General features: G+C 52.0%; 1 protein-coding gene across 2 annotated transcripts, besides 10 other annotated features; it reads left to right on the forward strand.

Annotated features, from left to right (window-relative positions):
• Positions 12,478-13,308: an enhancer, noted in NCBI's record as "H3K4me1 hESC enhancer chr2:20865647-20866477 (GRCh37/hg19 assembly coordinates)". NCBI's record gives its function as "activates a minimal SCP1, AML or CMV promoter by ChIP-STARR-seq in naive H9 embryonic stem cells {active_cell/tissue: H9 hESC(naive)}" and the evidence as "EXISTENCE:reporter gene assay evidence [ECO:0000049][PMID:30033119]".
• Positions 13,395-13,504: a silencer, noted in NCBI's record as "silent region_11213". NCBI's record gives its function as "represses an Ori minimal core promoter by ATAC-STARR-seq in GM12878 lymphoblastoid cells {active_cell/tissue: GM12878}" and the evidence as "EXISTENCE:reporter gene assay evidence [ECO:0000049][PMID:35858748]".
• Positions 13,575-13,624: a silencer, noted in NCBI's record as "silent region_11214". NCBI's record gives its function as "represses an Ori minimal core promoter by ATAC-STARR-seq in GM12878 lymphoblastoid cells {active_cell/tissue: GM12878}" and the evidence as "EXISTENCE:reporter gene assay evidence [ECO:0000049][PMID:35858748]".
• Positions 13,665-13,814: a silencer, noted in NCBI's record as "silent region_11215". NCBI's record gives its function as "represses an Ori minimal core promoter by ATAC-STARR-seq in GM12878 lymphoblastoid cells {active_cell/tissue: GM12878}" and the evidence as "EXISTENCE:reporter gene assay evidence [ECO:0000049][PMID:35858748]".
• GDF7 (growth differentiation factor 7) lies at positions 13,735-25,834 on the forward strand. 2 transcript variants are annotated; one of them, NM_182828.4, is made up of 2 exons: positions 13,735-14,221; positions 17,055-25,834. In NM_182828.4, the coding sequence occupies exons 1-2, from the start codon at positions 13,831-13,833 to the stop codon at positions 18,014-18,016; spliced, it is 1,353 nt and encodes a 450-aa protein (NP_878248.2). In that variant the 5' UTR covers positions 13,735-13,830; the 3' UTR covers positions 18,017-25,834. The 2 variants fall into 2 exon arrangements, with proteins under 2 accessions (NP_878248.2, XP_047299478.1); XM_047443522.1 differs by lacking the exon at positions 13,735-14,221 and adding an exon at positions 14,238-14,769.
• Positions 14,295-14,414: an enhancer, noted in NCBI's record as "active region_15401". NCBI's record gives its function as "activates an Ori minimal core promoter by ATAC-STARR-seq in GM12878 lymphoblastoid cells {active_cell/tissue: GM12878}" and the evidence as "EXISTENCE:reporter gene assay evidence [ECO:0000049][PMID:35858748]".
• Positions 16,786-17,731: an enhancer, noted in NCBI's record as "H3K27ac-H3K4me1 hESC enhancer chr2:20869955-20870900 (GRCh37/hg19 assembly coordinates)". NCBI's record gives its function as "activates a minimal SCP1, AML or CMV promoter by ChIP-STARR-seq in naive H9 embryonic stem cells {active_cell/tissue: H9 hESC(naive)}" and the evidence as "EXISTENCE:reporter gene assay evidence [ECO:0000049][PMID:30033119]".
• Positions 22,316-22,435: an enhancer, noted in NCBI's record as "active region_15402". NCBI's record gives its function as "activates an Ori minimal core promoter by ATAC-STARR-seq in GM12878 lymphoblastoid cells {active_cell/tissue: GM12878}" and the evidence as "EXISTENCE:reporter gene assay evidence [ECO:0000049][PMID:35858748]".
• Positions 22,826-22,885: an enhancer, noted in NCBI's record as "active region_15403". NCBI's record gives its function as "activates an Ori minimal core promoter by ATAC-STARR-seq in GM12878 lymphoblastoid cells {active_cell/tissue: GM12878}" and the evidence as "EXISTENCE:reporter gene assay evidence [ECO:0000049][PMID:35858748]".
• Positions 22,896-22,995: an enhancer, noted in NCBI's record as "active region_15404". NCBI's record gives its function as "activates an Ori minimal core promoter by ATAC-STARR-seq in GM12878 lymphoblastoid cells {active_cell/tissue: GM12878}" and the evidence as "EXISTENCE:reporter gene assay evidence [ECO:0000049][PMID:35858748]".
• Positions 23,266-23,535: an enhancer, noted in NCBI's record as "active region_15405". NCBI's record gives its function as "activates an Ori minimal core promoter by ATAC-STARR-seq in GM12878 lymphoblastoid cells {active_cell/tissue: GM12878}" and the evidence as "EXISTENCE:reporter gene assay evidence [ECO:0000049][PMID:35858748]".
• Positions 25,835-27,673: the final 1,839 nt, after the last annotated feature.

A 27,673-nucleotide genomic window follows, 5' to 3' on the forward strand; every position in this document is an offset into this window, starting at 1 on the left:
TGTCACCAATGCCTTGTAAGCAAATGAGAGGGCCTCACCTGTGCCCCTGGGGTTGTGAAGTGTGCACCTCAGGAAGACTCGGCCCACCTGTCAAGAATGCAACTGGTTTCCCATGAAAGAACGACCCCATTCCCAACAGCAATCCCATTTTCTGCCTCTGTGGGTCCCACGTGCCCCTCTATGGCTCCAGCGCGTAATTGTATACAATGCATGGAATGTGGGATCTAAATCTGATATTTTCTGCTTCCTGTTTAATTCAAGGAGCCCCTTCCATGGCTGAAGCTGCGGTAACACAAACCACATTGCAAAGGATTTTCTATTTCTCTCTTTCTCACTGCCCTGGGAGGAACACTCCAGGCCTCAGTTTCCACCCAGGAAGTCACTGGGCCTCAGGACACTGTGGTCACTGAGAGACACCCGCAGCCTGCAGGGGGTGCTCTGAACTCTGGCTGAGCCATGCACCAACGTTTCCCATGGTGGCTCGGGTCTTCTGGGACCTTATAATTTGTCTCTGTTCCCTAATGTGATACTTTAGAGCTCCAGGGTCTGGGCACATCCACATGGAGCAGGGCCACCACCTTGCTTGTCACTCAGCAAACACTCATAGGTACAGCTCCAGGCCTGTTATCTCCCCAGGCCTGGGGGCTACAGAGCCTTATCCTGTGGGGCTCACAGCCCACTGCAGGGGCTCACAGGCCACTCTAGGACAGCTGGAGATTTCAACAAGGATGCACGCCTAGGGTGCTATGGTGCACAGAGGAGGGCACATAACTAACTCAGCCTAGGGTTGGGCATACAAAGAATTCTGCCAGGAGGAGGTGATGGCAGACCTGGGTTGTAAAAAGTAGGTATTATTTTTTTGAGACTTGATTTTCTCACTGGTGAAATGCACGTAACAGAAACCTTTAAATCATAACATTGCTTGAATTACATGAGGTAAAATGAGACTGAAACAAGATGAAATGTATGGCAGGCATTGGTGATGAGCTAACCGGAAGCCATTCACAACCCCCTTCTTCCTGGTTTTTATTACCATAGAGGCTGGAGAAGTAAAACACATGTCCCATTTCAGTTACAAGGGGCCATGTGACATAACTGACCACATATACTTAAGTCCCTGTGGAGGATTTATCTTGCTAGGAGAAAACTCTTCGCTCCTTCCTTGTCTTCTACCTGGGAAGGGGATACAGTGTTGGAGACACAGCAGCCATCATGGGAGCAGGAGGCACAGACATGAGTTTGGAGTCTACCATGTTAGGGATGAACAAGCCTGGGGAGCTGATGGCATATGAGCTTGCATACACGCCCTGGACTTTTTCTACAAAGTTCTCCTTGCATAAATGCCTAAATCACTCTAAGTGGGGGTTTTCTGCAGTGGATTTCCTGTTGGTGTAGTTGTAAAGTACTTACATAATGCCTGACATAAAAACTGCTCCATAGGGGATGCAGGGATGACTGAGGAGGAGGAAGAAAAGAGGTAAAATGTGTACTAGGAAGGCAGCTTGTCTTTTTTTTTTTTTTTTTTTTTTTTTGAGACAGGGTCTCATTCTGTCGCAGTGGCATGATCACAGCTCACTGTAGCCTCAACCTCCTTGGGCTTAGGTGATCCTCCCACCTCAGCCTCCCAAGTAGCTGGGATCACAGGTGTGTGCCACCATGCCCAGCTAATTTTTGTGTTTTTTGTAGAGACAGGGTTTCCCTATGTTGCCCAGACTGGCCTTGAACTCCTGGGCTCGAGCAATCTGCCCTGCTGAGCCTCCCAAAGTGCTAGGATTACAGGTGTGAGCCACCATGCTCAGCCTAGTACGTCTTGATAGAACCAGAGCGTATCTGAGGAGCTGGTGAGAAGAATATGTGGAAGGATTGCTGGGAGAGGAGGCAGCAGAGGGCAAGAGGAGCCTGTGTTCCCGCAGCATAGAGGGCCTTGTGCGCTATGCAAAGGAGCTCACATCTTATCCTGAAGAAGGAGGGAGTGGGCTCACAGAACAAAGGGAAAAGAGTGTTTCAGGAAGAGACTGGGGTGTGATCAGCAATGCCAAACACTGCTGAACATCCAGGAAGATAAGGAGGTGTTCAAGAAAAACAAACAAAAAAACCCCACAGAACTGAACAGTAGTTAAAGTGGTGAAAGCAGATTTTATTTGGGACTACTGCAATAGGGGTAAGAGACCCCAGTATAGAACTAGGCTAAATTCCGAATGCAGCATGAGAAAGTAGGAATTTATAGCCAAGGAACAGGGTGGGAGTGGTGGCTGGAACATTACTAAGACGAGTATGGGGGGACTCTGGCTATGCCGACCTAACAGGATTCTTGCTGAAGATGGGCCAGGATGGTCAGACATCACCTGGGGATGGTGGAGGAGGGGGAACCCAGTTGGATATCGAGGGTGATCAGATAGGCAGGGTGGGAGGATGTTGGTAACCTGACTTAGCCACGTTCTTCCTAAAACTGGATTTTACAAGGAAGTGCATGCATAGGTCTAAGAGAAGGTTCAGGAGCTCAAAGCTCAGTTTGGTCAAGAAGAGAATCTTTGAAGAGAGAAAAGTGTTCTCTGGCCTCGAGGAGGGCAGTGTCCCAGTGGGTGGAGGAGGGGACAGGAGGTGGGAAGGGGAGAAGGGAGTAGGGCCCCCTCTTCCAGAGGGGGACAAGCAGACAATTTTTGGAACCATTCTGTAGAAATAATTCATGCTCATGGTAGAAAAGCTGGAAAATAGGGATAGTAAAATTAAAAAATAAAAATCGCCTCTCATTCTATACCAGATATAACAATTGTACTAATTTTTTGTTCCTTCTCTCCTGACATTTTTTTCTATGCCTATACATAAGTCTTTTTTTTTAAATAATACAGAATCTTAATAGCTATACTATTTTGTAACTTGCTTTTTCATTTACCATCCTGTAAACATCTTTCCATGTAAAATGACCTCCAAAACCATAATTTTAAATGGCTCCTTAGAATACCATATGCAGATGGAGAATAACTGACTTCTCTGGTCCTTAAGCTGTGTACATGTGATGGAAAGCTGGTGCACTGGAGGAGTACTGAGCGGGGTGGATGATCTTTGAAGTGCTGGCTGGTGTTTAGGCCAGATCCCTAGGAAGAAGGCTTGGGAGAAAAGTGCCAACTTGTTTGGGAAACTTGTTTCTTGAGTCTTTCAGTGTGCATTGCTATTGTTGAACAGCAGAGGAGATTGGAAGATTGGGAGAAATGAGACAGTGCTTCATCGCTTTGCATTGTAAAGGAATTTGGGAGGCATTGTCTGCCTGCGGCTCCTGAGCTCTGGGTGGTGGTCTGGCTTGTGGAGGGGGCGTGGGGCCCAGCCGCCTGGAGGAGGCCCAGGGCAGGCCAGCTAAGGCTGCAGACCTTGGTGGGTGGCATTTAGTGGCTCCACTGAGTCCTGCTCTGCTCTGTCCAAGACGCCCCACCTCAAACCTTCAGGGCCTACTATGCACCCTCGTCTCAGGGAAATGGCGTCTAGTACTCAGTGCACCACAGTCCTGGAAGTGGCTAGTCAACAGGAGTCAGGAAGCTTGGACTGACTGTGGAAGCGAGGCTCTAGGGATCCTCAGGAATCTTTGCCTGAGGCACAGCAAATCCAGCTATTTTGTTTGGATATTGTAGAAAGTCCCAGAACTTGGAAGCACAGAGACATGATGCATTAGATGGGTTTACATCTGCACTCTACTAAACTGTGCTCAGGAAAGCTGAATGAGGCACGTCTTCCCCAAACCTCGCCAGCCCCGATTCATTTTCTTACATCCTCTCAAGTGTGAGAAGTGAAAATGCTCTTTCTTGCTTAAGTACATTTATATGATTACAGGTGCGGCTGAGCATCTTTCTCCTATTTGTTGGTCTTCTGTTTCTTTGCGACTATCCTGTTTATTTCCTTTGCACATGAGAAAAAGCTTGCTCCATTTGTCTTTTTCTTGTTGATCTGTAAGAATGCTTTACACATTAAAGATACTAACCCTTTGTGATAAATGGTGTCCTGTTTGTCTTTTAACTACTTTTCCCCTAAGTTTTTATTTTGAGAATGTTTCAAAGGCACAGAAATGTTGAAGGGTTAATAACCACATCTGTGACCCCTTCCCCTAGTCTCACAGGTGGGATTCTGGCTCAGATGGAGACTGGTGATGGGCAGGAAGTTTTTTAGGAATTACCTGGGCAGAGAGTGCTAACTTGGGATGCAATCTGCAATCATGGCAGAGGCCGCAGCCCTTTGCAGGGGGAGCTCCGGAGCTGGCATGGCCCTGCCAGGTCATCCTGAATTGGGAGGAGGTGGGGATGGGGCTTTTACACTCCACATTGACAAGTCACTGGATGTAGGCTACCTGACCTTGGGTGCTACACCTCCCTGTCTTCAGAGAGGGTAAGCAGGGCTGCAGGCTGCCAGCTTTCTCAGCAGCTGCAGAGTAAGTAAGCACTTAGTCCCTGAGCACCCCACCCTCAACCCCAGAGGGCAGCTGGGCTGTACACCACAGATGCCCTGCACAACTGTGAACATTCTGCCACCTTTGTTTTACCCTCTCTTTCTCTGTTTCTGTGTTTTTTTCCTTGAAACATTTAAGAGTTAGTTGTAGATATAATGATCTTTCATTCTGAATACTTCAGCATATACCTCCTTCGAATGAGAGCATTCTCCTACTGTATTAGTCCATTTTCACACTGCTATAAAGACATACCCAAGACTGAGTAATTTATAAAGGAAAGAGGTTTAATTGACTCACAGTTCAGCATGGCTGGGGAGGCCTCAGGAAACTGACAATCATGGCAGAAGTTGAAAGGGAAGCAAGGTACCTTTTTCACAAGGCAGCAGAAAGACGTGCCAAGAGAAGGGGGAAGAGCCCCTTACAAAACCATCAGATCTCATGAGAACTCACCCACTATCATGAGAACAGCATGGGAAAAACTGTCTCATGATTCAGTTACCTCCACCTGGTCTCTCCCTTGACACGTGGGAATTATGAGGATTATAATTCAAGATGAGATTTGGGTGGGGACGCAAAGCCTAACCATATCACCTATATAACCACAGTGCAATGATCATGCTCAGGAAAATTGACATAGATACAACAGTCTAACATACCATCTGTGTTCCAATTTCTCCATTTGTTCAAACAATATCTTTTTTTTTTTTTTTTTTTTTTTTTTTGAGACGGAGTCTCGCTCTGTCGCCCAGGCTGGAGTGCAGTGGCGGGATCTCGGCTCACTGCGAGCTCTGCCTCCCAGGTTCACGCCATTCTCCTGCCTCAGCCTCCCAAGCAGCTGGGACCACAGGCGCCCGCCACTACGCCCGGCTAATTTTTTTTTTGTATTTTTAGTAGAGACGGGGTTTCACCGTTTTAGCCGGGATGGTCTCGATCTCCTGACCTCGTGATCCGCCCGCCTCGGCCTCCCAAAGTGCTGGGATTACAGGCGTGAGCCACCGCGCCCGGCCCAAACAATGTCTTTACTAACAAATGCTCCCCATACCTTCCCATCCTGACATCCCACCCCCAGTGAAGACTCTAACTGAAAATCCTGCATTGCATTTAATTATCACGTTCTTTTAGTCTCCTTTATTCTAAAATGGGCTTTTTCATCTTTCATGACATAGATATCTTTGAAGAGTTTAGGTCAGTGGTTCAGAATATGCCTCTGTTTGGATTTGTCTAATTGTTTCATCTGTTAGGTGCAGATGAATCTTTGGCAGAAGTGCCACACTGAGGAATCCCTTTCAAGAGCACGTGATGCCAATTTCCCCCATGATTAGTGACATTAAGTTTGATTATTTGGTTAAGGTCAATTCTGTTTTCAGAATTTTCTTACAAGCATGTTTTAAGATTTTTATGAAGCTCCAACCATGGACATAATTCTTGCTGGTTCCTGCAATGAACTCAGAAAAGTATCCCTTACCCAGACTGTATAAATATTTACATATTTTCTCCAAATACGCTTATAATAGTTTCAGTCTCTAATAAATTCTTTGATTCACTAGGAATTAATTTTGGTTTATGTCACAAGAGTCTATTTCCCCCTCTAAATACTTAATCAAGCATCTAGTGTCATTCACTGGTAACTTTTATTAAACAAGTCATCCTTTTCCCTCACTGGAATTGTCACTATTTTTCTACATATTTTCAAAGATTGTTATTTGTTTCTGGATTCTATTCTGTTCCCGTGATCTGTCAATCCTCCTTCCAGTGCTATATGGGAATTGGTTTATTTTGATATCTGATAATGAAGATCTCCAAGGAGGATTTATTGTTTGACGATGTAAAATGTGAGTAAAAGCAGAAAGATGAAAGAGAGAGTCCCAAGGAGGTTTGAGGGCTGGGGTGGCAGGGCAGTGACAGGCAGACAGAAACATGTCTATCCGTGTGGCTTTGGCTTGGGTGTGAACAACTGAGAATCAGCCCTTTGCCCCACCTCTCTATTCTGCCCACCCTGTATCTCAGTATAATATATCATGGCGTATTTCCAAGCCATGCATGTGGATCTAACTCAGTCTCACACTGGGGGAATCATAATTCACTCTGAGGGTATATTATCATTTTGTCCTTACTAGATTAAGTATCATCTATTCCACTTTTTATTATCACCTCAATTTTAAACCTTGTATATTTATCTTCACGTGTGCAAGTATAGCTATAAATGAAACAACATTTTTACAAGGGAAAAGTAAAAGTGCTGAATCAAAGCCTTTCCTTCTTTAAAATGTTGATGCTCTTCTTGAAAAATCTTTTTTTTTTAAATTTAGATAGCCTGTATTTCATGATCCATGTTCTTGAAAAATCTCTACGAACTTATATTCCTGCCAAAGGTATATGTAGATGTGCCCGTTTGCCCATCCTTTTGCCAATAACGGGTTTCATATTTTTCAGTTTTGCTAGATTTAGAGAGGAAAAAAGTGCTATCTCATTATTCTTTCAATTTTGCAGTGATTTGCTAATGACTTTTTAGATGTTGATTCTGTAACCCAGTGTTTTTACTAACTTCCAGATTTGTGTCCCCAGCAATGAGGACAAGCATTTTGATTAGAGTCCTCTAGCTCCTCATTCAAACCAGGAATGAAGACTCGGAGGACAGAACCTAGCTGGGCTCTGTTTTAGTTGCCCTAAATTAACACCTTATTTAGGATGGATCTGCTACCTAGGAAATGAGGGTGAGAGGGCACATGGGGGAGTCATAGCCTAGGGCCAGGTTCCCAGTTTTGTAAGTGCCTCGTTCTTTGCGGGGCAGCCTCGGAGACTGCCTCCTGCAGACAAATCTCACAGACACCTTTACTATGTGGACCAGAAGAGCTGAGACAGCCAATCCCCAGACACCAGGATCCGGTCAGCCCTGTGATCCTCCGGGTCAACACTCTGTTTCAGGAACTGGTGGATCATTTGTTCCCAATATTGTCATCCTCAGGGGTGGCTGCAAGTCTCATATCCTAGACTGTGGACACATCTTCTAGTTCCTCCAACTCTGTTCCTGTCAGCCCCTATCTTCCCAGGCGGCAGATAATTTGGTTCCTCTAATCATTGTGGGTCTAGAACAGAAACCCTGAGCTCTATCTAAGTAAGACTGGAGGGCTGGGCATTCCAAATTATTGCACAAAGAGTCCGCAGCTTTTTTTCCAAAAGTAGTTTTTTGTTTGTTTGTTTATTTGTTTGTTTTAAATCTCATGTGTCCACAAAGGTCTCCAAGAAAATCTACTGAAGACACAGCTGCAGAACATTCAGAATACTGAAATCCATGGTGAGCAAGTCCACAGAGGGGAAATGCCTCCAAGACAGTGGCCACACCCAGGAGACTGAATGAACAAGCTAGATGAGCTGGCCTTCCAACTGGTTAAACCAGGACTTACCCAGATGGCATGAAACGCCACCATTTTTTTTTTTTTTAACTGAGCCAGCACTGGGGCAAGGACTTTTCCTACTTGATTTAATCTACTCTTTGACACACCCCTTATAAGTAGGCAACCCTGTCCCTGTTTAAAGACAAAGAGACAGAAGATGACAGAGGTTAATTTAATCAGGGTCACAAAGCTCGAACACAGCAAAAGTGGATTGGAAGCCAGATCTTTATCATGACCCTATACTGTAGTCTTTTTCCTGGGTCAATGGAAGCATATGGTCCTTGTCACTCATCTCCCAGGACACCTTACAGCCCCATGCGAGCTTGTTCACCTGCAGAGGCCCAGAGCACTGGTTCCTGAGTCTTCTCCCAGTAAGTAGGAAGTTCCTCAACACTGCACTGCTGTTACAACAAGTAACCAGCAGATGGCAGTGTCCACCAGCCCTCCCTGATTCGTCCCAAACCCAAGGGCTCTGAGATGTCCCTTTTGGAAGGCTTCTGGTAAAGAAGCTACCTTTCTCCCTTCTTCTCTGTTGCCTCTCCTCCCCCTCCCGGTAGCCTGGGGCACAGGGGCAGGCCACGCCCAGCGGCCTGGGGCCAGAGCTGTGGCTGACCCCAGTGTGGATGCCAGAGCTGTTGCTCTGAGTAACCTGGGGCCGGGTATCACCAGTTGAGCCTGGGAAATTCCTCTAGCTTCAGGAAGCCCAGCCCTGGGCATCCTATGGGGCTAAGCCAGAGCCCGCTGCAATCTTCCCACCTTGCTGTCCCAGGTCTTTCTGTGGGAGACATTTGCAGCAGATTTCTGGACTGAGAGGAGTCCATCATCACCAGACCCAGAGAGGGTGGATGGCTCTGCAGGCTGTTGTCATCAACTTCTGTCCCTTGCCTTCCCTGGGAGACCTAACCCAGAGCCCTATCTCCTCACCTCCAAACCTTTCTCCAGCTCTGAGTCAAAAGGCCCAGAGGCTACGGTGGGTCCAGACAGAGGACAGGCTCCTGGCTGGGTCCCAGGCAGTGGACCCATCTCACACTCTTCCCGTCTTTCACTGCAAACCCTGTGGACGTTTGATTGTCAGCCTCACTGCACATCTGGGGTCTAAAGCCAGGAAGGGTGAGGAACTTGCAGCCCAAGTTTAGAGGCACGATTTGAATTGAGGTCTCTTGACTCTCAGGATTATCAGTTTTATGTTCCAAGTTAGTGCATGGCTGCAGGGACCCAGCATCCCCAACAGAGGAGAGGGGAGGGCAAAGGCTGACCCTCATTATGTTGCACCCACAGGGTGCCCTAAGCAGAGGTGAGGCAAGACCCTCTGGGCTGCAATGGAGAACAAAGGCCCCTGATCACAGGGGGACCCAGGATAGAAGATGGCTATGATGCCAAATGACAGGCTACTGATCACATCCCCTTGTTGGGGACTTGGCTTCTGCATGTGGACAATGTAGAGTAGGTTGCCTCTAAGGGATCTTTTAGTTGTCTTGTCATCAGACATGGGGCCAGGTGTCTGGGTATGGCAGGAGACCCTGGGCAAGGCTGAGTAGGCTACAGCTGGGGCTTGCCCAAGTTCCCGTACCTGACAGTCGCTTCAAAATGGCTGTAGCTGGCGGGATCCAAGACTAACTCCCTAAGTAGTATCAATCTAGTGTTGTAGGTTCCCAGATGACATGCAAACTCCCCACAGCAAAGGTACCTTCGAGAGATGTGGCTCTCCTAGTAGTAGTAGAGAGGACTTCCTCACAACCGGGTACAGGAAAGCACAACCGTAATCCCAGAACTTTGGGAGACTGAGCCTGGGCTCAAGAGGATGCTTTGAGGCCACCCTTGGCAACACAGCAAGACCCTGTGTCTACAAAATATTTTTAAAAATTAGCTGGGTGTGGTGGCTTGTGCTTGTAGACCCAGCTACTAGGGAGGCTGAGGTAGGAGGATCACTTGAGCCCAGGAATTTGAGTTACCGTGAGCCATGATTCTGCCACTGCACTGCAGCCTGGGCCACAGAGGGAGACCCTGTCTCCTAAAAAAAAAAAAAAAAAAAAAAAGAACAAAAAAGAACTTCCTCCCATTCAGAGGTATCAGAGGCTGCCTTGGATAGGGAGTTCCCCACCTCTGCAGGTATGCAAGTGCAGCCCAGGAAGCAATTTGTTATGATTCAGGCATGCATGGCAAGTTGGCTTAAATAATAACCCCAAAAGTTGTTTTCAGATCCTTGGATTCTATGACTGAATCAGGGACTTGGTGTTCAGAGAAAACAAACAGCTTCTGCAAGGGGTGGAAGAGCAGCAAAGTGCTCTGCAAGGAAGGGTCTGGGGCGGGAATGTGGGAACTGCCCCTCTTCATCCCAGTTGTCAAACATCGCCCCAAGCAGGCTGCTTTCCCCTCCTCCCTCCGTTGGAGGCAATCTCACCTTCTCTCTCTGAGGAGGACTCAGCTGGAGTCTGGAGGTCTGGGGTTTGGGGGTGATCAGATGGATGAAGAACTAAAGTTAGGGCTTTCAGGCCCCAGTTTTCTCCCAACCTTCTCTGATCTCTGCTCCTGACATCTGCCTCTGGGCCTCATCTGCTCCCCAGTGATGGCTGGGGCAACACAGAGGAAGGTTTTCATTCTCAAGGCTCTTAGTGCAGTTAGCATGTGGTGCACAGCTTCAAGGGCTCCGGGCTGTGCAAACTAGCTCTCTCCTGCCCAGCCAATCGACCTAAGGATCCCCACATCACCTAAGAGGAAGTCCCAACTGGGCAGGGCACCTGGAGACCTGGGTCATGGGCAGGTCCTGCTGCTGGTATGACAGGCTATTTTCCATGGCAAGTGTTTTCCGCTTCCAGTTGCGAGCAGTGGCAGGCAAGAGTCCCCTGGGTAACACTTTCATAGTCTTCACCTGGACTAGAGAGGTCCTTTCTTTGCCAAGAATTTTCTAGAAAGCCAGAGAGGAAAGGCAGGCATACTCTGCCTCTCCACTGGGGTCTGGGGAGCAGGGCGGCAGAACAAAGCCCCTCACATTCCCATCCCCCAGCCCCAAGCCAAGGGTTGAGCAAGGATAGTTGATGACTCCATGCTCTGCCACTCTCCAGGTGACTCTGCGCAAGGTGTTGAATTCTTTAGCTCAACTTTCCTTTTCTATAGAATGGGAAGAATACCCATCTCACAGGATAGAGTAGTTGTGAGAATGAAATGGCATGAGGTGTGTGGAGCAGCAGGCAAGGTGCCTGACATTCAAGGGACAACGAATGGGCACTATCATTATTTACAGGGAGCGAGGGAGACAGGCATGACCCATGCATCCTCTCTGCCTCCTCCTGGGCTCGGCTCCAATGTGTCCTCTGCTGATCACAGAGCCCCCCAGCCCATCACTTTACTCGGAACCACTGGATAGCACACTGTGCATTTATGCGCTTCCTGTTGGCTGTCTCCTGTGTCCATCCTAAAGCTCCATGTGCTCGCCCTGTGCGTTGCTCAATCCACAATGCACCGAAGGCTACCTGGCAATGAGTATTTACATAAAGAAGGAATGAATAGAGGGACGGATAAATAAATAAATGACTGTGCCCTCACCATACAGACCAAGAAGCACAGGTGGGAGAAGTGAAGTCTCAGTTGGAGCACATACAGCGAGTGGACAGTGGCTCCAGCAGCATTAGCCCACCCCATGTGTGTCCTCCAAAGCCTTCCAGGTGCGTAGAAGCTGCTTCTCTCTCTGCCATGATCACCCCTGGCACTGGGAACACACTGGTGGTTGGGGGCAAGACTACATCACCTCCTCTGTGCCAGCCTGTTATGCCAGCCACACACAGGATGAGGTGAGAATCCGCTCATTTTATAGATTAGGAAATTCGGTCTCCAAGAGGCTAAGTGGCCTGCTCCCACAATGACAGCAAGGGTGCATCCCTCATTCCTAAGCCCCAACGTGGCAGGGGTGTCATGTAATCAACAAACGTTTGTCACTGGCTGTGCCAAGAATGTGCTAGGACCCTTCCGCTCTCTGCTCTACACAGCCGGGTAAACTGAAGCCAAGACAAGGCAAGCGACTTGCTGTCACCCAGGACTCCCCGCGTGTTTGCACAAATCTTAGCCGAGTTGATTTGTAAAACACCCAAACACTGCGGGCGCATGGCTGCAGGGGGAAAGGAAGCCAAGTAACACAGTAGGACCCAGCATCCGCGTCAGGGAGAGACCGGGGGGCTGGCGGAGTGGGGGCGGCGGTGTTTGTCACCGACTCTCCAATCCCAGTCCTAGAAGCAGGGTGGACTATCCCAGCTCGATCATCCCAGATTCCCCAGGCTCCTGCTAGGAGAAGTCCCTCAGCGCCGGCAGCGCTGACCCTGGTCCAGGGGTCCGCCCTTCCCGGTAATGTCAGGCCTTTCTCCTTGGCATAGATCGGCCTTGGGGTCTGCGAGGACTGAACCTCACTAGGCCTCTCTCTCCCACCCGCAAACATTCTCGAGTGTTATGCGGCTCAATGCCCCAAGGTGAGCAGGCGCCGCGTCTCCGCGGTGGCCGAGAGGGCAATGGCTGAGGAGTTCGTTTGGGACGAAGCAGTGGAGCAGGGGAACTGGGGAGCCTGGGCCGGGCCTCTCTGTGGGTCCCAGCGCAGCGCAGCCAGGCAGGCGTCGGGACCTAGGCGGCTTTGGATTCGGCGGGCGACCTCGCTTTGAAGCTGATCACCCGCTCAAGGTGATCACGACGTGCCGACCCAGTCTAGATTTTGAGTTCTGCAGAAAATGCAATTTTAAAGGAAAAGGACCCGCCTGCCCTTCTTCGGCAGTTCGTTTGGCCCAGGCCTTCGATCAGCTGAAAGTTTCCGATCTAGGGGGATGTCCAGGCTGCCGGCGGAGCAGAGCCGATAACCCCCCTCTCCTGCGCGTTCCCCTGAGACTTGGCCTCCGCAACCTGTCCCAGCCGCGGAGCAAACTGCTCTGCGGCCCGCGCGAGTGCGCCCCAGGGCTTCGCCGCTGCCGGGCGTCCCCTCCATCCACCTCGGGACCCGCGCCATCACCGCGGCGGGGTAAGAAGCTCGGAGGCGCCATCCCGGGGCTCTGCGCCGTCCGCTCTCCCGGCTCCTGGCCGCTCACGCACACAGCCGGTAGCTGGTTTTCGTTAGCCGCTGCCCTCGCCCAGAAGGCGGGTGGAAGGTCGCCAGTTGGACGCACAGCCAAACTCTTAGCGCACTCCCGCGCGAGATCCCCCATCACCCGGGGCTGCCGTCCTCATTTCGAGCTCTTTCTAGAGCTTGGCTCCCGCTGAAGCGCAACTTCCGCGCCCAAACCTTGCTTTTACGACGGGCGGTCCGCGTCCAAAGGTCTCTTACAGGCCTGCCCTTTCAGCTCCTCGCCCTCCCTTCCTCCCCTACCGGCCCCCTCCCCTGCTCTGGCCGCCCGCTGCAATCCTTTGGGGTCTGTGGCTGAGTGGGGAACCGCCGACCCGCGATCCGGAACGCGACTTTGAGGCCGCCGGGAGCATCCTGTGGCCTCTCTCTGCGCGGCCACCCGGCCGCGGCGCGAAGCGGTCTGGAGGGCGAGCCCTTCCGCGGCCCCAACTCTGCCGCCCCGTTCCCGGCATTGGGAACCAGGGCAGGGAGGGGGCGGGTGTTTCTCTGCGGGGGAGTGGGGAGGAAGCTGGGCGGGTGCGCGCGGTGCCCCGAGCCTGGAACCACGGAGGGCGCGTTGGTCTTGGGCGGATGGAGGGGGTGTCGCACTGCCGCGGGGAGGCGTGTCGGGAGGCTGGGGCCAGTGGCAGTCGCTTGGCGAGGGTGGGGGCGTAGCGCTGCGGTGGGAGGAGGCGGCTCCGGCCCTGGTCTCCACTCTAGGCCGGGGTGGGGGGCGCATAGCGGCCGCCGGAGCTTTCAGCAGGGGGCGCTGCTCCGGGCGTTGGGCGGGGGTGGGGTGGGCCAGGAGGGGGGGCCGCGGGCTGGCCGCGCACACTTCCCCCATTATTAAACACTATGTTCAAAAGGCGCCGGGGGACTTCCCGGAGCCACGGAGCCCGCGCCGCCCGCCCGCCCGGCCCACGGAGCCCATGGACCTGAGCGCCGCCGCCGCGCTGTGCCTTTGGCTGCTGAGCGCCTGCCGCCCCCGCGACGGGCTGGAAGCGGCCGCCGTGCTGCGAGCGGCGGGGGCTGGGCCGGTCCGGAGCCCAGGGGGCGGCGGCGGCGGCGGCGGCGGCGGGCGGACTCTTGCCCAGGCTGCGGGCGCCGCGGCTGTCCCGGCCGCCGCGGTTCCCCGGGCCCGCGCCGCGCGCCGCGCCGCGGGCTCCGGCTTCAGGAACGGCTCGGTGGTGCCGCACCACTTCATGATGTCGCTTTACCGGAGCCTGGCCGGGAGGGCTCCGGCCGGGGCAGCCGCTGTCTCCGCCTCGGGCCATGGTCGCGCGGACACGATCACCGGCTTCACAGACCAGGCGACCCAAGGTACTTACGCCTCTTCTGTGCCCGCCCATCCCGTCAGGTCCTGGGCTGAGACCAGCCCCGGAGCCGTGCCGCAGCTCCGTTACATTTGGAGCCGCGGCCCCATGCGGCCCACCCTCAGGTGATAGAAAGAAACTTCGCCGAGGCCAACACTCTCCAGCCCGCTGCACCTGGACTGTGGCGAGAGTCGCGGCAGCTCCCGGGGCCCAGTCCCAGAGGGCTGACTGGTCCCTCTCCCAGGTCTCCCTGGCCTTGCAGGCCGGCTGGTCCCCTCGAGGAGGCAGGCGGAGGCCAAGATTCGCTTCTTGGGGAATGGTCTGGAGTGGCCTCGGAGCCCTCAGAGAAGAAAGGAGGGCAAGAGCTGTGTTCCCGGGAGTCACGGCGAGAGGGACTGCACGGTGGTGAGGGTGATGGCTCCTTCCTTGCAGCAATTTCTGCAGCTCCCAGTCTCCTGCGGGCCACACAAATTGGGGGAAGCCCAGGGAAAACTAGGGCAGAGGCAGGTATCAGACTAAAGTAAATGGCCCTGGAGAGGCTGGTGGCATAACCAGGTATGAGGAGTGCCCTGCTCAGCAGGTTGGTCTGGGTGGTGGTGGTTTGTGTGTGTGTGACATGTGCAGCTATGGGTGCCTGTGTCTGGTGCTGGGCCCCTGGGAGAGCCAGAGGTCAAGGATCCTGGTGGTGTGGGGAGGAGAGGCCTGCTGGGGACCCTGCAGGAATGCAGGCCTCTCTTAGACTAAGCACCCCACCTTGTTCTGCCCTGGGCCTTCCAAAGGTAAGATGTAGGTGAGGCTGTGGTGTGGCTGCTGTATGTCATCTGGATTTTATTAATCTCCATTGAAATCATTAAAGCAGACAGATAGAGAAAATTTACCTAATTTCAGGCGGAAATGCAAGTAATTTCGGCCTTAATTCTATCCAGCCAGAGACCCAGCATGGAGGGCAGGAGGGAAAGAAAGGCGAATAGGGCTGGGAAGTGAGCGGGTGGGGCTGAGGCAGCCCTGCTTGGGAGCCACTGACAGTCAGCATACCTCAGGTCCTAGCCTGGGAAGGCAGGCAGAGGCCTTGCAAGTGACCAGGTCATCCATCCCTGCCAGCACATGCCCAGTGCCTAGCACAGACTGCCTTATTTTTGGTACCTGGAAATCTTGGTACCCAATCCCCAAATGGCCCTGTGGTTCGGTTAGAACTATCAAGCCTTCTCTGACGGCCTGACATGGCCCCTGGGCTGGATGCTGGGATACTTATAGGACGCCCTAGTTCTGGTGCACAGGGACAGGGACTGAAGGGTCCCAGGCTGCAGGAGAAGGGGGGTGTGCTGGGCTCTAAGTGGGCACAGGCACCAGAGTCTTCTTAAGGTTGAGCTAGTTCTACCATGGTCTCAGACAGGAGATAAATCCTTTCTGGGGAGCTCAGCTTGGCTGGCTGAGCCTGAGAGGCCTCCTCTCCCTCCTCCCTCTTGGGGGAAACAGAGTGGCAGGGCTGGTGAGCAGGGAGAGGCAGAGGATCTGCAGGGAATCTCAGAGAAAGTGCTCCTCGTGCAGCCCCAGTGTGCCTCTCCGGCCTCCCTCTCCACCCTGAGTCTCAACTTGGAACAGGGCTGCTTGAGGTCCCCAGAAGCCATTGATAGGGATAGAACCGGGACCTCAGGCATGAGGGCCTGACCTTCGTGGCTGGTGAGCAAATCCCCAGTGGTGGGGGGATTCTGCATAGTCTCTCCGAGTTTAGGGGCAAAACGAAACCATATGACCCCCTTCAAAGGGAGCTCCTTATCTGCTGCGTGGTGGAATTTTAAACTTTTTTTTTTTCTGAGCCCAAAAAGGAAAAAGAAAAAAGAGTGTCCACACTGGAAATAAAACCCCTAAGCCCGAGATAAGTCACTACAGAGGGAAGAATGAGCCCGCGAAGGGACAGACAGGCGGCTCCTGGAAGCGAGACCTCGTTTGGGACGCTGCCCTCACTGCAGCAAGGTCATTCCGGGATGCCCCGCACCCCTCCGGGAGGTTCCTTGTGTTCCTTTACTGCCTTTCCCCCTCCTTCGGAGGCCGCGAGAGCACCGGGAGGAGGTGCATTTGGGGTTGCGATCGCGAGCAGCAGCGCCCATTGTTGCAAGACCTGAGACCTTGGGCGAGCCTGGCCCCTACCTGGGCCTCAGTTCCCCTTCGGCAGAGCGAAGTTGGACTAGAAGGTCTCTGCGGCCGTGCAGACGAATTCTCCCGGACGAATCGCCGAGCCCCAGCCTGCATGGGAGACCGTGGCCAGCAGGGATGTCCAGGCTGGGTTGGGGGAACAGAGGTAGCAGAAGAGTTTTCAGGAGACCAGAATTTTCCGTTTTCGCACAGCCAGGACTTTCGGCTCTCTTGGGGGATCAGCAGGGCAATAACGATAAGTCTCCTTAAGGCCCAGGACCTCAGGAGGGGGTGCACGACTTCTTTTCAACCCAGCCCCGGACTCTGATCTCGGATTCTGGCCCGCGGCTCTGGGTCAGGCCGCGGAACTATAGCAGCCTGCAGTCCTGGTCTTGGGTGTAGGGGTGCGCTCCTGGTCCCGCGGCTCAGGGATATGCAGTGACCATGGGTTGTTGGCCTGATGGGACTTTTGGCTTGCTAAACCAAAGCTCGGTTCGGATATCCCGGGCGAAGACGTCCGCTGCTCTGGGCCAGGCTGGCAGCGTTCAGGCTGGGGCAGAGACGCGGAGTCGGGCGCTGGCTCCAACAGGCCTGGCTCCCACATCGAAGACAGCTGGGCCATTTGCTGTTAGGAGGCCCCGCGCTGACAGTGTGCAGGATTTGCTCTTACACAGCTCTTTCTCTCTGTCCCTGCCGGTCCCCCGCAGACGAATCGGCAGCCGAAACAGGCCAGAGCTTCCTGTTCGACGTGTCCAGCCTTAACGACGCAGACGAGGTGGTGGGTGCCGAGCTGCGCGTGCTGCGCCGGGGATCTCCAGAGTCGGGCCCAGGCAGCTGGACTTCTCCGCCGTTGCTGCTGCTGTCCACGTGCCCGGGCGCCGCCCGAGCGCCACGCCTGCTGTACTCGCGGGCAGCTGAGCCCCTAGTCGGTCAGCGCTGGGAGGCGTTCGACGTGGCGGACGCCATGAGGCGCCACCGTCGTGAACCGCGCCCCCCCCGCGCGTTCTGCCTCTTGCTGCGCGCAGTGGCAGGCCCGGTGCCGAGCCCGTTGGCACTGCGGCGGCTGGGCTTCGGCTGGCCGGGCGGAGGGGGCTCTGCGGCAGAGGAGCGCGCGGTGCTAGTCGTCTCCTCCCGCACGCAGAGGAAAGAGAGCTTATTCCGGGAGATCCGCGCCCAGGCCCGCGCGCTCGGGGCCGCTCTGGCCTCAGAGCCGCTGCCCGACCCAGGAACCGGCACCGCGTCGCCAAGGGCAGTCATTGGCGGCCGCAGACGGAGGAGGACGGCGTTGGCCGGGACGCGGACAGCGCAGGGCAGCGGCGGGGGCGCGGGCCGGGGCCACGGGCGCAGGGGCCGGAGCCGCTGCAGCCGCAAGCCGTTGCACGTGGACTTCAAGGAGCTCGGCTGGGACGACTGGATCATCGCGCCGCTGGACTACGAGGCGTACCACTGCGAGGGCCTTTGCGACTTCCCTTTGCGTTCGCACCTCGAGCCCACCAACCATGCCATCATTCAGACGCTGCTCAACTCCATGGCACCAGACGCGGCGCCGGCCTCCTGCTGTGTGCCAGCGCGCCTCAGCCCCATCAGCATCCTCTACATCGACGCCGCCAACAACGTTGTCTACAAGCAATACGAGGACATGGTGGTGGAGGCCTGCGGCTGCAGGTAGCGCGAGGGCCGGGGAGGGGGCAGCCACGCGGCCGAGGATCCCCAGCTGATGAGCAGCAGCGGGCCACCCTGTCACCGAGCGTGGGTGCATGTCCGATGTGACCCAGCACCCTCTCAGAGGAGGGAGAGCACACGTTCACACTCACACACACTCGTGCAGTCACGCACACATTTACCGGGGACAGCATGTGAAAGCCTTGGGAAGAGATGACCTGCCGGTACCGAATGTCAAAGCCCTGTGTATTTTGCAAACAGATAACCATGGCGCCCACTGCCCCCATTTAGGGAGAGGAAGGTGTTTGTGCTGATGTTGCAGTTAGAGGCACGAAAATCAGGTAGCAACAACGGGTTAGGAAATTCGAAGTTCCAGAATGGGAGAACCAAAGGGGTACTCGAGCATGCTTTATCTCACCCCCTTTTGTTTCTGGCCCGATGTGGGGCATCGCTTCCCTGGGGGGCTGAGCGCCGCGTGGTGCACTCCGTGACCCACTGCAAGGCTGTAATGCCCTTCCCGAGGGTTTGTGTTGCATGGGGCCGTTTACCCTGGAACTGCTGCAAAAAGCATCTTTCTTTTTTTAACTTTTAAAATTTAACGTGCCCCTGCTTCATTTTTGAAAGGGAAGTTTTGTCTGAAAGTAGCTGTTGTGGAGCTTCCCAGATTTCTGCAAAGGTCGGTACCGCCACCCCCCCCCCCCCCCCCGCCTTTTTTTTTTTTTTTTTTAATCAATTCCAATAGGAAATGTTATGGAAAGTGGAAAGGATATTTTTCTTTTAAACGGCTGAGTCTGATCTAACAGGATATTGGGGTGGGATAGGATCTGCCAGGTTCGGAAGCTCCCCAGTTGGTCAGGGGGAGGTGGGAGCCATGCCTCGGGTGGCTCAGGAGGAAGTTAGTGCAATGGCCCGGAATGGGGAAGGTGGGGCTGGGGGAGGGGAGCTACTGCTTTTCCTAGAGACCTGCCAGGAGGTTTTCCTAAGAAGCCAGGGAAGAGGCTCTCAGGGCTTGAAAGGCAAGGAGGTGTCCTGGGGCCCACTCCAGCCGAGGACTCCGGCTTGCCGGCCAGGTAGGCGGAAGCTCCCGGGGCCGACTCGGGCTTGTGCTAGTTATCAAGTAAGTCGGCCTCCGCTTTTTACCTGCTTTCGCTGTGTTGTTGCTGTAGTTGTTGGCAGTGTGATAGTAACGGGAAGTGAAGCCACTCAAAAATGCTTTTGTCAGACTTCAACTCACAACCCAGACCTTTAGAGCAGGGGGAAGGTCTGCCCCTTCCCCTCATCGGCTCCCTGGCTTGGCTGCTGTGCCCTTGGAAGGGCAGGGCCTTGGTGTGGGGGAGCAGAGGTGGAATATCCCCCAGTTCCCTTATTTGGCCCCAAAGGGTCTTATTGATGGGAGGATTTTCTAGGCATGTAAAAGTGAGTTCGAACATTCAGACTTCACTGTTTGATTTGATTTGTTTATGCCTGGGAATCCTTTGTGGCTTTTTGTCAATAGGCTGGGAGAGGGAACCTAGTTGGACTCCAGCTGTCCGGGGTGGGGGCTTCTTAGAACAGCCCCGCAGCCCTCTCGGTGCATCTGTGTGATGTTGTGTAGGACTTTCCCCTTCAGAGTCCTGGGGAGCATTATTTCCACCCTGTGTTGGATGCAGGACAATTCATACACATTTTGATTCTCAGTGATTACACTCTTGAGAGAGAGAAGACAGACTTACGATTTAGATACAGCTAATTTACTTAGGGGCCCTACCTGAATCGGTTTTCATCCTGTAAAATTCTCCCAAAAGAAAAAAAAATACACGTGTAAATTACTCTTAAAATTAAGATTCCCCCCTTCCTCCTATTATGTGAATTTATATTCTGTGGCTGTATGAGTAGCTATAAATAACCAGAACATGAACAGTCTCTTCAGGTTAAAAATTTTAAAAATATCCAAAAGTGGCTGCTCTGGTACAATTCCATCTTATTTTAGTGACTGGGCAAAGATGGTCCCTAAATTTGTGGATTTTGCCAGAGATGCCTCACTCTCGTTTTTAAAATGAAGCTTGTCATAATGAAGAATTATATATTAAAAAAAGCACTGAAGTGTTGAAAGTTGTAGTATTAGAAGGTTTAGAAAGGAAGTTAATGACAAAGTGCAGTTAAATGTTATTTTGAGGAAGGTCTGGGGTATTTAATATCTTTGGATAAAAGCAAACATTTTGATACTTTTTTAGTGACTAGTAAAAACAATTTTTTGGGCAGAAATGTCTTGATTTAGCCTGGCCTTTTTATAGTAGGGAAAAAAACTGTCAATTTCCCCTCTTTCCTTCTGATGACCTCCTTCTAACGAGATGTGTTGTGAGTGGTGTGGGAAGTAGGTACCTTCCTGCATCTTGAGTTCAGGTGGCACCCGGTGGGAGGGGTGTTGTCCTTGGACAGTGACTGTTCCTTCCATGGCCCCATACCCTCAGTGTGCTCTTTGTTTACTGGATAAAAGGAATGCTTCCCAGATTTCCTCTGGAGCAGGTGAAGCCCCCAGGGGCCACTCTGCCCAGCCCTCTGGCATCTCAGTCCATTCACTAGGTGAATGCAGAGGATCCATTTCACTTGTAAAAATGACAACAAAGGGCCAACACATGTGGGGCAGACGGCTTTTTGCTGCTAAGATGTGGTTTAACTAGCATTGCCAAGGTGTGGAGAAAAGCGTTCTGCCAGCACAGTTGGTAGTAGCACCCTGAGCTCTCTGTCTTCTAGGTAGCGGGGGACAGGCCTGGGTGACTGGCATGAACCCAGCTTCTCTGTTGCAACCCCCAGCTGGAATCTCCAGTCACCATGGATGGGAGAACTGACAGGCAGGGAGAAAGCATGTCAAGACTGTGAGGAAAGGCTGTCCCCTCAACCCCAACCTGAGGTCACCAAAGTCTCCCTCCTAAAGTAAACAGAATTTTCCATTTTGTAGGGAGAATTGTGCACTACTAGTTGACATCACTTGAACCAGGATTTCCTGCTAGTGAGTAGGATTTGGCATCCCTACTTAGGGAGCTCGGGACAGGCCAGCTGGGGCCCAACGGGGGCTGGTGCTGGGTCTGTCAAACACAATGATAGCCTGGTCACTGCTGCTTGAAACCAGGGCTTTCGTATTAAGGAGGATCACCCACACTGGCAGGCGGGCATTTCCACTGATTCCCAAACACACTTGCCTTGTTGAATTCTGACTTTCCAAACAGCCGCACTGGGTCTTCCAGAGAAGGTGGCAGGCTTTGCTGTGTTAGCTTGGGGAAGCCAGGCTTGAGCTGTGCTCAGTCATTGTATCCATGCTCCCCTTCACCATACCCTCCTGGCAACGATATGAGGTGTGGATTGTGTGATAGAAGAATCCAGACTCCACGAAGCCAAGGACAGTCACTTCTCCCTGGCAGCTCTCATGGTGTCGGCAGGAGTGGGCGCCTCACCTTGGGTACTGAAGAGAGTACCGATAATCCCGTGGATGGAACAGGAGGGAGTGTAATTCAATCCCTACACATTGTATATGCTGTTGGCAATTTCATTTAAACTCACAGCAGAAAACAACCAGGATTTGTAGACTGATTTTCTTCTTAGAGCAGGGAGAAAAATTACGTTCTTTCCAAGAGCAGCTCGTGCACAGATAAGGTCAGACTTTTCCTGTGCTTGAATCTGGTCTCCAGGAAATCCAGTGGCAGGAAGAGAGTGTCCTGAGGCTGCCTCTGGGGGCACAGAATCACTGGGCCTCGCTGATTCTCATGAGAACCTGTCATCTCAGTGAGACAGGCCTCCCACTGGCCCTCAGTGGGCCATAGGCCAAGAGGTCTGAGTCAGATCGCGCAGTGAGCTGGAGGGAGCGAGGCTCTGAAAGCAGCAGTCTAGCAGAGGGAGTTTGGGCCTGCGCTTACCCCTCAGAAAGTGTCTGGATTGGGAAGGGAAGAGAGGAAGCTGCCGAGCGAACCCAGCAGCCAAACTTTGGGTGAGTGGAAAGTAACTAGATCCCTCTGGTGGATGGTATATTTGAGCTGCACCAGAGTCAGAGCCCACTGTGGGCTTCCGAGTGCCCAGAGGCAGCTGCTCCCACAGCACGGACTGCGCCCGCCAGGGGAGGCCGCTCAGGGGCCAGGGCACCACAAGGCGTCTCCTGAGAGACGTCTGAGGCAAGTTATGGGCAGTCACCTCCCTGCTGGAGCTTCATCTTCTGCCCTGTAAAATGATGCCCTTTCCAGTTCCAAGGTTCTAGGATTTTACCTTGCCTCAAAACCCACTCAGATAGCTTGAAGGCAGAGCAAATGTGATGGCTCCTGGAGAAGGTCCTCTCCCAATCCCAGTCCCAGAGCCTCATCTTACCGGTTTCGCAGCTCTTGCCTGTGCATGTGCATGTGTGTGCGTGTGTCCATTTTACTCCTATCCTTAATAGGTGCCTCATGGATGTGCTTTGAATTCCCCTGGGCTGAGGTAGGTGTGGGGAGGGCCCGCACCTTGAGGGTGGGGTTCAGCTCCCCAGAGCCAGGAGCTGGCTGAGGGCACTGCCCATCCAGCTGCAGTTCCTCCTGTGCTCAGTGGGGTGGGCGGAGCCACACTCAAGCTGAGACTGTCTGAGAGACCTAGTGCTGGGAAGGGCTCTACCTGCTGCTGGGGCCTCTGCAGGCAGAAGGGTAAAGGCAAGGCTGTGCCTGGTTGGTCACCCAAACGGGGGCCTGGGACTGTCCCAGAAGCCCTGGATGAGGCAGGCAGGACTGTCCCAGAATGGACTCCTTGGGTCCTCACCCCCTCCTCACCACCATGCCCATGTCTGGCTCTGAGGTCCCCTTGCAGCTTCCCAGGGGAGTGACCCTGGGGTAGCATCAGAAGAGCTTGTCTCTCTCTTCCTTTTTGTGGTCTGGAGAAGTTAACATAAAGAAGCACCAGAAGGGAGGACCCAAAAAGATGTTTATTTCTAAGTTTTCAGACAGCTTGGCATCTTGTACCTGGAACCTCCTGACCATGTAGGCTGCAGCACAGCTGTCTTCCTCCCTCTGTGCTGTTCTGGACTTTAATCTGTGTGCACAGCTTAGTGCGTCACAAATAGTAACTGAGTGAGGCTGTTGTGAAAGAAGCCTGTTTTTTTCAGGAGGGCCACCGTCCTAGCCTGAGGAGACACCTGGTGGACACAGACTGCAGGGAGAGGGCTGAAAGTTGGCCTAGTGAATCAGAGGGGTGACTGAGGGCCTAGAAGTTGCCGCGTGAGCTCTGATCATCATTAGGGGTGCTGTCTGCCCATGACCTGCAGGTACCCACCTTAACCAGAGCTTGGCTTGTGGCCTGCAACTTGGCGACAGGCCTTTGGCTGGGCAAAGTTTGGGCTGGTGCTTCATGGCGGCAGGACCAATTACAGCAGAGCAACCCAGGATGGGTGGTCATTGAAAAATGGGTGTGAAGTCACTGAAAAATCAGACTGAGTTTCAAGTTATGCTCACAGTTGCTGAAAAAGCAAAAATATGCCCTTAGAGCAGCAGAGCAGCGTGCGATGGTCCACTTCCTCCTGCCTCTGCAGAGCTTGCAGGCCTCTTCTAGCATCTGTGCATGGTGCGCATGTGTCTGTGACAACAGAAAGGGTGGGTTTCTCTCACACGTTTCCCTGACAGTGGCAAGGGGGCTGCAGCGGTCACAGAAACTTCCGGAGAGAGGTGTTTCTGTGCAGTCAGGTGAATTTGTTGGCAGGACAGCTTGGTGTGATGATACAAGAAGTACAGTTTCACTCTTTTTTTGTCAGATGAACTTCCTTCTGCTAGTTTAGAAATGCTTCACTCCAGAGAGGGCCACCTGATAGAAGCTGTATTACAGAAACTTTTAATCTCTTTTCTATGTCAGTAAGGGGATGCTGAAATAAACTGTCTAGAAAAACAAGAAGCTTCTGTCACACCCAGGCCACTTTCGGCAGAGTGGTCCAGAGCGGCCAGGGCACGGCCAGCTGCTTTGCATCTGCATTCCCGTTTCATTACCTTTTGTGTTGTGGGCCAACAGGAGTGCTACGTAGTGGGGGCTGGAGATTTGTCCAGGCAGGAGGTGGGCAAGTGGCTGTCTTCTCTGCAGAATACCTGCACTGCTCCATCTGACCAGCAGTGGCAACAGCCACAACCAGTTCTGCATCTAGCTCCTGCCCAGACCTTTGGCTGCCAGAATCTAGAACCATGGCTGACCAAAGCGAGACTTCCGAGTAAGGTTCGTTAACAGGCATCCTGCTGAATTAGAAGGAAACAGGAACGAATCCAAAGCAAACGGGGCTAAACTTCCCTCGAGGACATTTCCTGAGCTGCAACATGGGAAGCGACAGCACCGAAGCTGGTGAGCTGGTGCAACTGCACACACCTTTTCTCTGGTTTTTAGTACTCACAGGTCATCCTGGGGAGACCGCTCATGGGCTATGGGCAGCCCATGCCTGGATTTTTTGGTGAATGAGTCTGAAAAGCAGTGACCAGGTGTGTTGAGGGCCTCCCCTTGCCTGCACCTTTTTATCTCTGAGTGACTGAGGGCTGCCAAGGCCAGACAACGCACATGTGTCCTGGATCCTCCCCTGGCCTGGGGCAGCAGCAGCAGCAGCAGCTGGGCTTGGGGTGAGTAGGCTGGCTTGAGGAAGGGGCTGCCCACAAGCAGGGCTCATTTCCTGGGTCAGGGCCTGTCAGACTCAAAGTCAGCTCTTCAGCATTCTGTTTAGAAAATGATGATGCAGTTCAGTGAGAAAGAAAGCTCAGGATAAAATATGTTTTCTGGAGGGGAAATACTCAAGTGTTCTAAGCCAGGAACAGAGACTCTCAAGAGAGGAATTCTCTGGCATTCTCTGCCTTGGATAAATCATGGATTAAACATGAGCATCCTTAGAATAATTTTATTTTTGTATTTCACTTTACACTGTAATGCAAACAGCTTTTATGTTTTCTTTGACGAAGAATCATAATTGAGTCACTTTAGGTCTTTTAGCTGGAAGCATTTCACCCTAAATGAAAAGTTAATGCATTTTTTACAAGGATTAACATGCTAACTACAACTTGCCCTTTCAGCAGATGACAATAAGGGATTCTGAAAAGTTTGGACTGTCTTTTTCTTTTTGTATACAAATAAAGCAGCAGATCCTTTCTCTGTGAAGGTTGTTGCAGAGCTCCCGTACCAGCTTATAAAATGCGGCTGTTTAAGCAGGACTTGGGTGGGCAGCAGAATTCTGCACATGACGAGTGGCTGCAGCTTAGAAAGCAAATTTCATCTGATTCCAGTACTGTGATTTTAAGGAAACGGTAAAACTCAAAGTGCCAGTAATGCCATCAAGGCTCAGTAACATGCCATTTCCTCAGCAGCTAAAGACAAAAAGAATTATTTTGGTGAGGGGATAGAAATCCTTTCGCTTTGCAGTGACACCCACTTTTTCTTAGCTTGGCTTGGGAGTAAGGAGATTGGAGTGTGGGGGGACATTAGAAACTCATTTAAGGCAAACTGAAATCTCCTTCATCAGCAGTCTTCCTGCTGGTGTAGCCACAGCAGAACTCCGAGGCTTGCAGGCTGGGCTGTCTCCTTGCTGCCTGGCTTGGGTGTTTATTTGGGCAATGCAAGCTGACATTGTGAGGTGTTGCCGATGCCCAGGCCAGCTAGCAGGGAGCCCTCCCAGGGCTGGTAGAAACCTATGTGTATATATATTCTCAAATTTAAATAGATTGTACATAGTGAAATGTAAATGACATGTAAAACAGCAATCTCTATTTTTCTTAACTATTATATAGCAGTATATATTTGTTGAACATGCTTGTATACTCTTCATTAACCATTTTAATATTTTGTACAGATAAGTTGATTAAATATTTTATTCATAAAACCGCTCATGACTGGTCTCTAAAGGAAAACATTTTCAGCTTTTGTTACTCAGCCTTTCTGTGTTACTGTAGTCCTCATTAATAGAATAGCGACCAGCTATTGAGGCCTTAGGACTGACTGCATTTTAATAGTGAGAGTGACATAACAGGCCTGACTCCACTTGCCTTTGTGCCGATCATTCCCCTGTATTGTCAGATCAGGTGTGAGGCTGTGGGCCTCTGGTATGGGGGGCTGCACCCTGGGTCTTGGTGACTGGTATGAAACTGTATATGATGCTGCTGCACACAGCCTCACACGGCATGAAGTCACTGCAGAGCAAGGTAAAAAACATCAAGCTTGGGTTCAGGAAAGGAGGCCAAAATGCAGTGGAAAACATTTTCTCTTTGGGAAATGAGCATGATAATGTGTAGAGTGAGCACTGTCATTCCAAATGCAGTTTGGGTGGACAGGTTTTCTGTGTTTATACATCTCAGACTGCTGCAGGACCTGTCTCACTCCAGAAAGCATGAGCCCTCCCCACCTGGAGGATGCACAGGTAAGTCTCTGAAATCCCAAGGCATAAAGTCCCATGGAAGCCGCTTCCTCTGCAAGGCCAATTACATACGTCACAGAACCCAATAAGGTCCTACAGCAAATTCGACAGGCCTTTTTTTTTGCCCAGTACTCTTCGAGACAAGTACAAAAGCCTGTGCTTGGTGACACCACGAAGGATGCAGCAGGACAGGATCAACCACACAGCGTTCTGTTGCTATCCCAGCTCTCACAGCTGACTTTTGCCCAGATGGAGAAATCTATTTCATGTGTTCCTTAAATATTTCTGGGAGAGGACTAATGACAGAGCAGGAATTGTAGGAAGTTGACAGGGACTTGGCCTTATTAGTGACTGTTACCAGGATTACCTCTTTTGCGATATGAAGCCTGCTGGAGTGACCCACATTTTCGTCAGTGATGGCAGCCCATGTTCATGGTGAATTCAATATCCCAGTTTGTTAATGCAGGTCCCTGTGGTTATGTAACTTTCTCTCTCTGGTGAAAGATCAAGAAAGCCTGCCTTCTTTTCACCACTCGATTTCCTATTATAAATAAAGGAGTCTCTTCTTTGGAAGAGAAATTGTGTTCCCTTTCCAACTAACTCATTTGGCAGGTACAATCAATGTGTAAGTTCTATGACCCTGCCATCGAAAACTGGAATGTCTTGTCATGCTTTGTTTATAAGCATCTTTGGTCCATTTTTCATTTTCTTATTTTTCAGTCTCCATTTGACCTACCACAGCATTCTGTGGTTAGAGTACACATTCAGTAGAGGAGTAGTTACAGGGAGAAAGGAAAGTCGGGAGTGGCATTAAAAATTTTATCCAATTTCCCAGACACTGATAAGAGCAAATCTAAAAGGCCCGTCCATGACTAATGGTAAAGGCGGCTAAGATTGACTTCTCCACTCCTTCCCTGGTCCTGTCAGGTCCTGGATCTGCCTCTGATGCCTGCTCATTTCCAAGCAGGCCAAGGCAAAGATGCCTCCAACTGCTGTTCCATTGAGGGTGGTGCCCAACGTGGTCATGGATGCATGTGCTCTTGTGTCCTAGGAACCCTGTGACTCATCTGCTCAGAAAGGACAATGATCTGGGGAGAAACTTGTCCACTGTGAGGTGCCACCAGCATGCAGCCCTATAGGCTGTGGGTGTCTGCCGAGTCCTAATCACATGCAGGTGCGTGGCCCTTCACAGTGGCCAGTAGGAGGAAGCCCAGATGTTCTGCAGAGCCTGAGCTGGATGGATTTGCAGAGGCGGGATTCTAGTCCCTCTGTGAGGGAGGGAGACCCTGCAGGTGCACCGCACCCCCT

Source organism: Homo sapiens, chromosome 2 (assembly GCF_000001405.40).
Source record: "Homo sapiens chromosome 2, GRCh38.p14 Primary Assembly".
Taxonomy (NCBI): domain Eukaryota; kingdom Metazoa; phylum Chordata; class Mammalia; order Primates; family Hominidae; genus Homo; species Homo sapiens.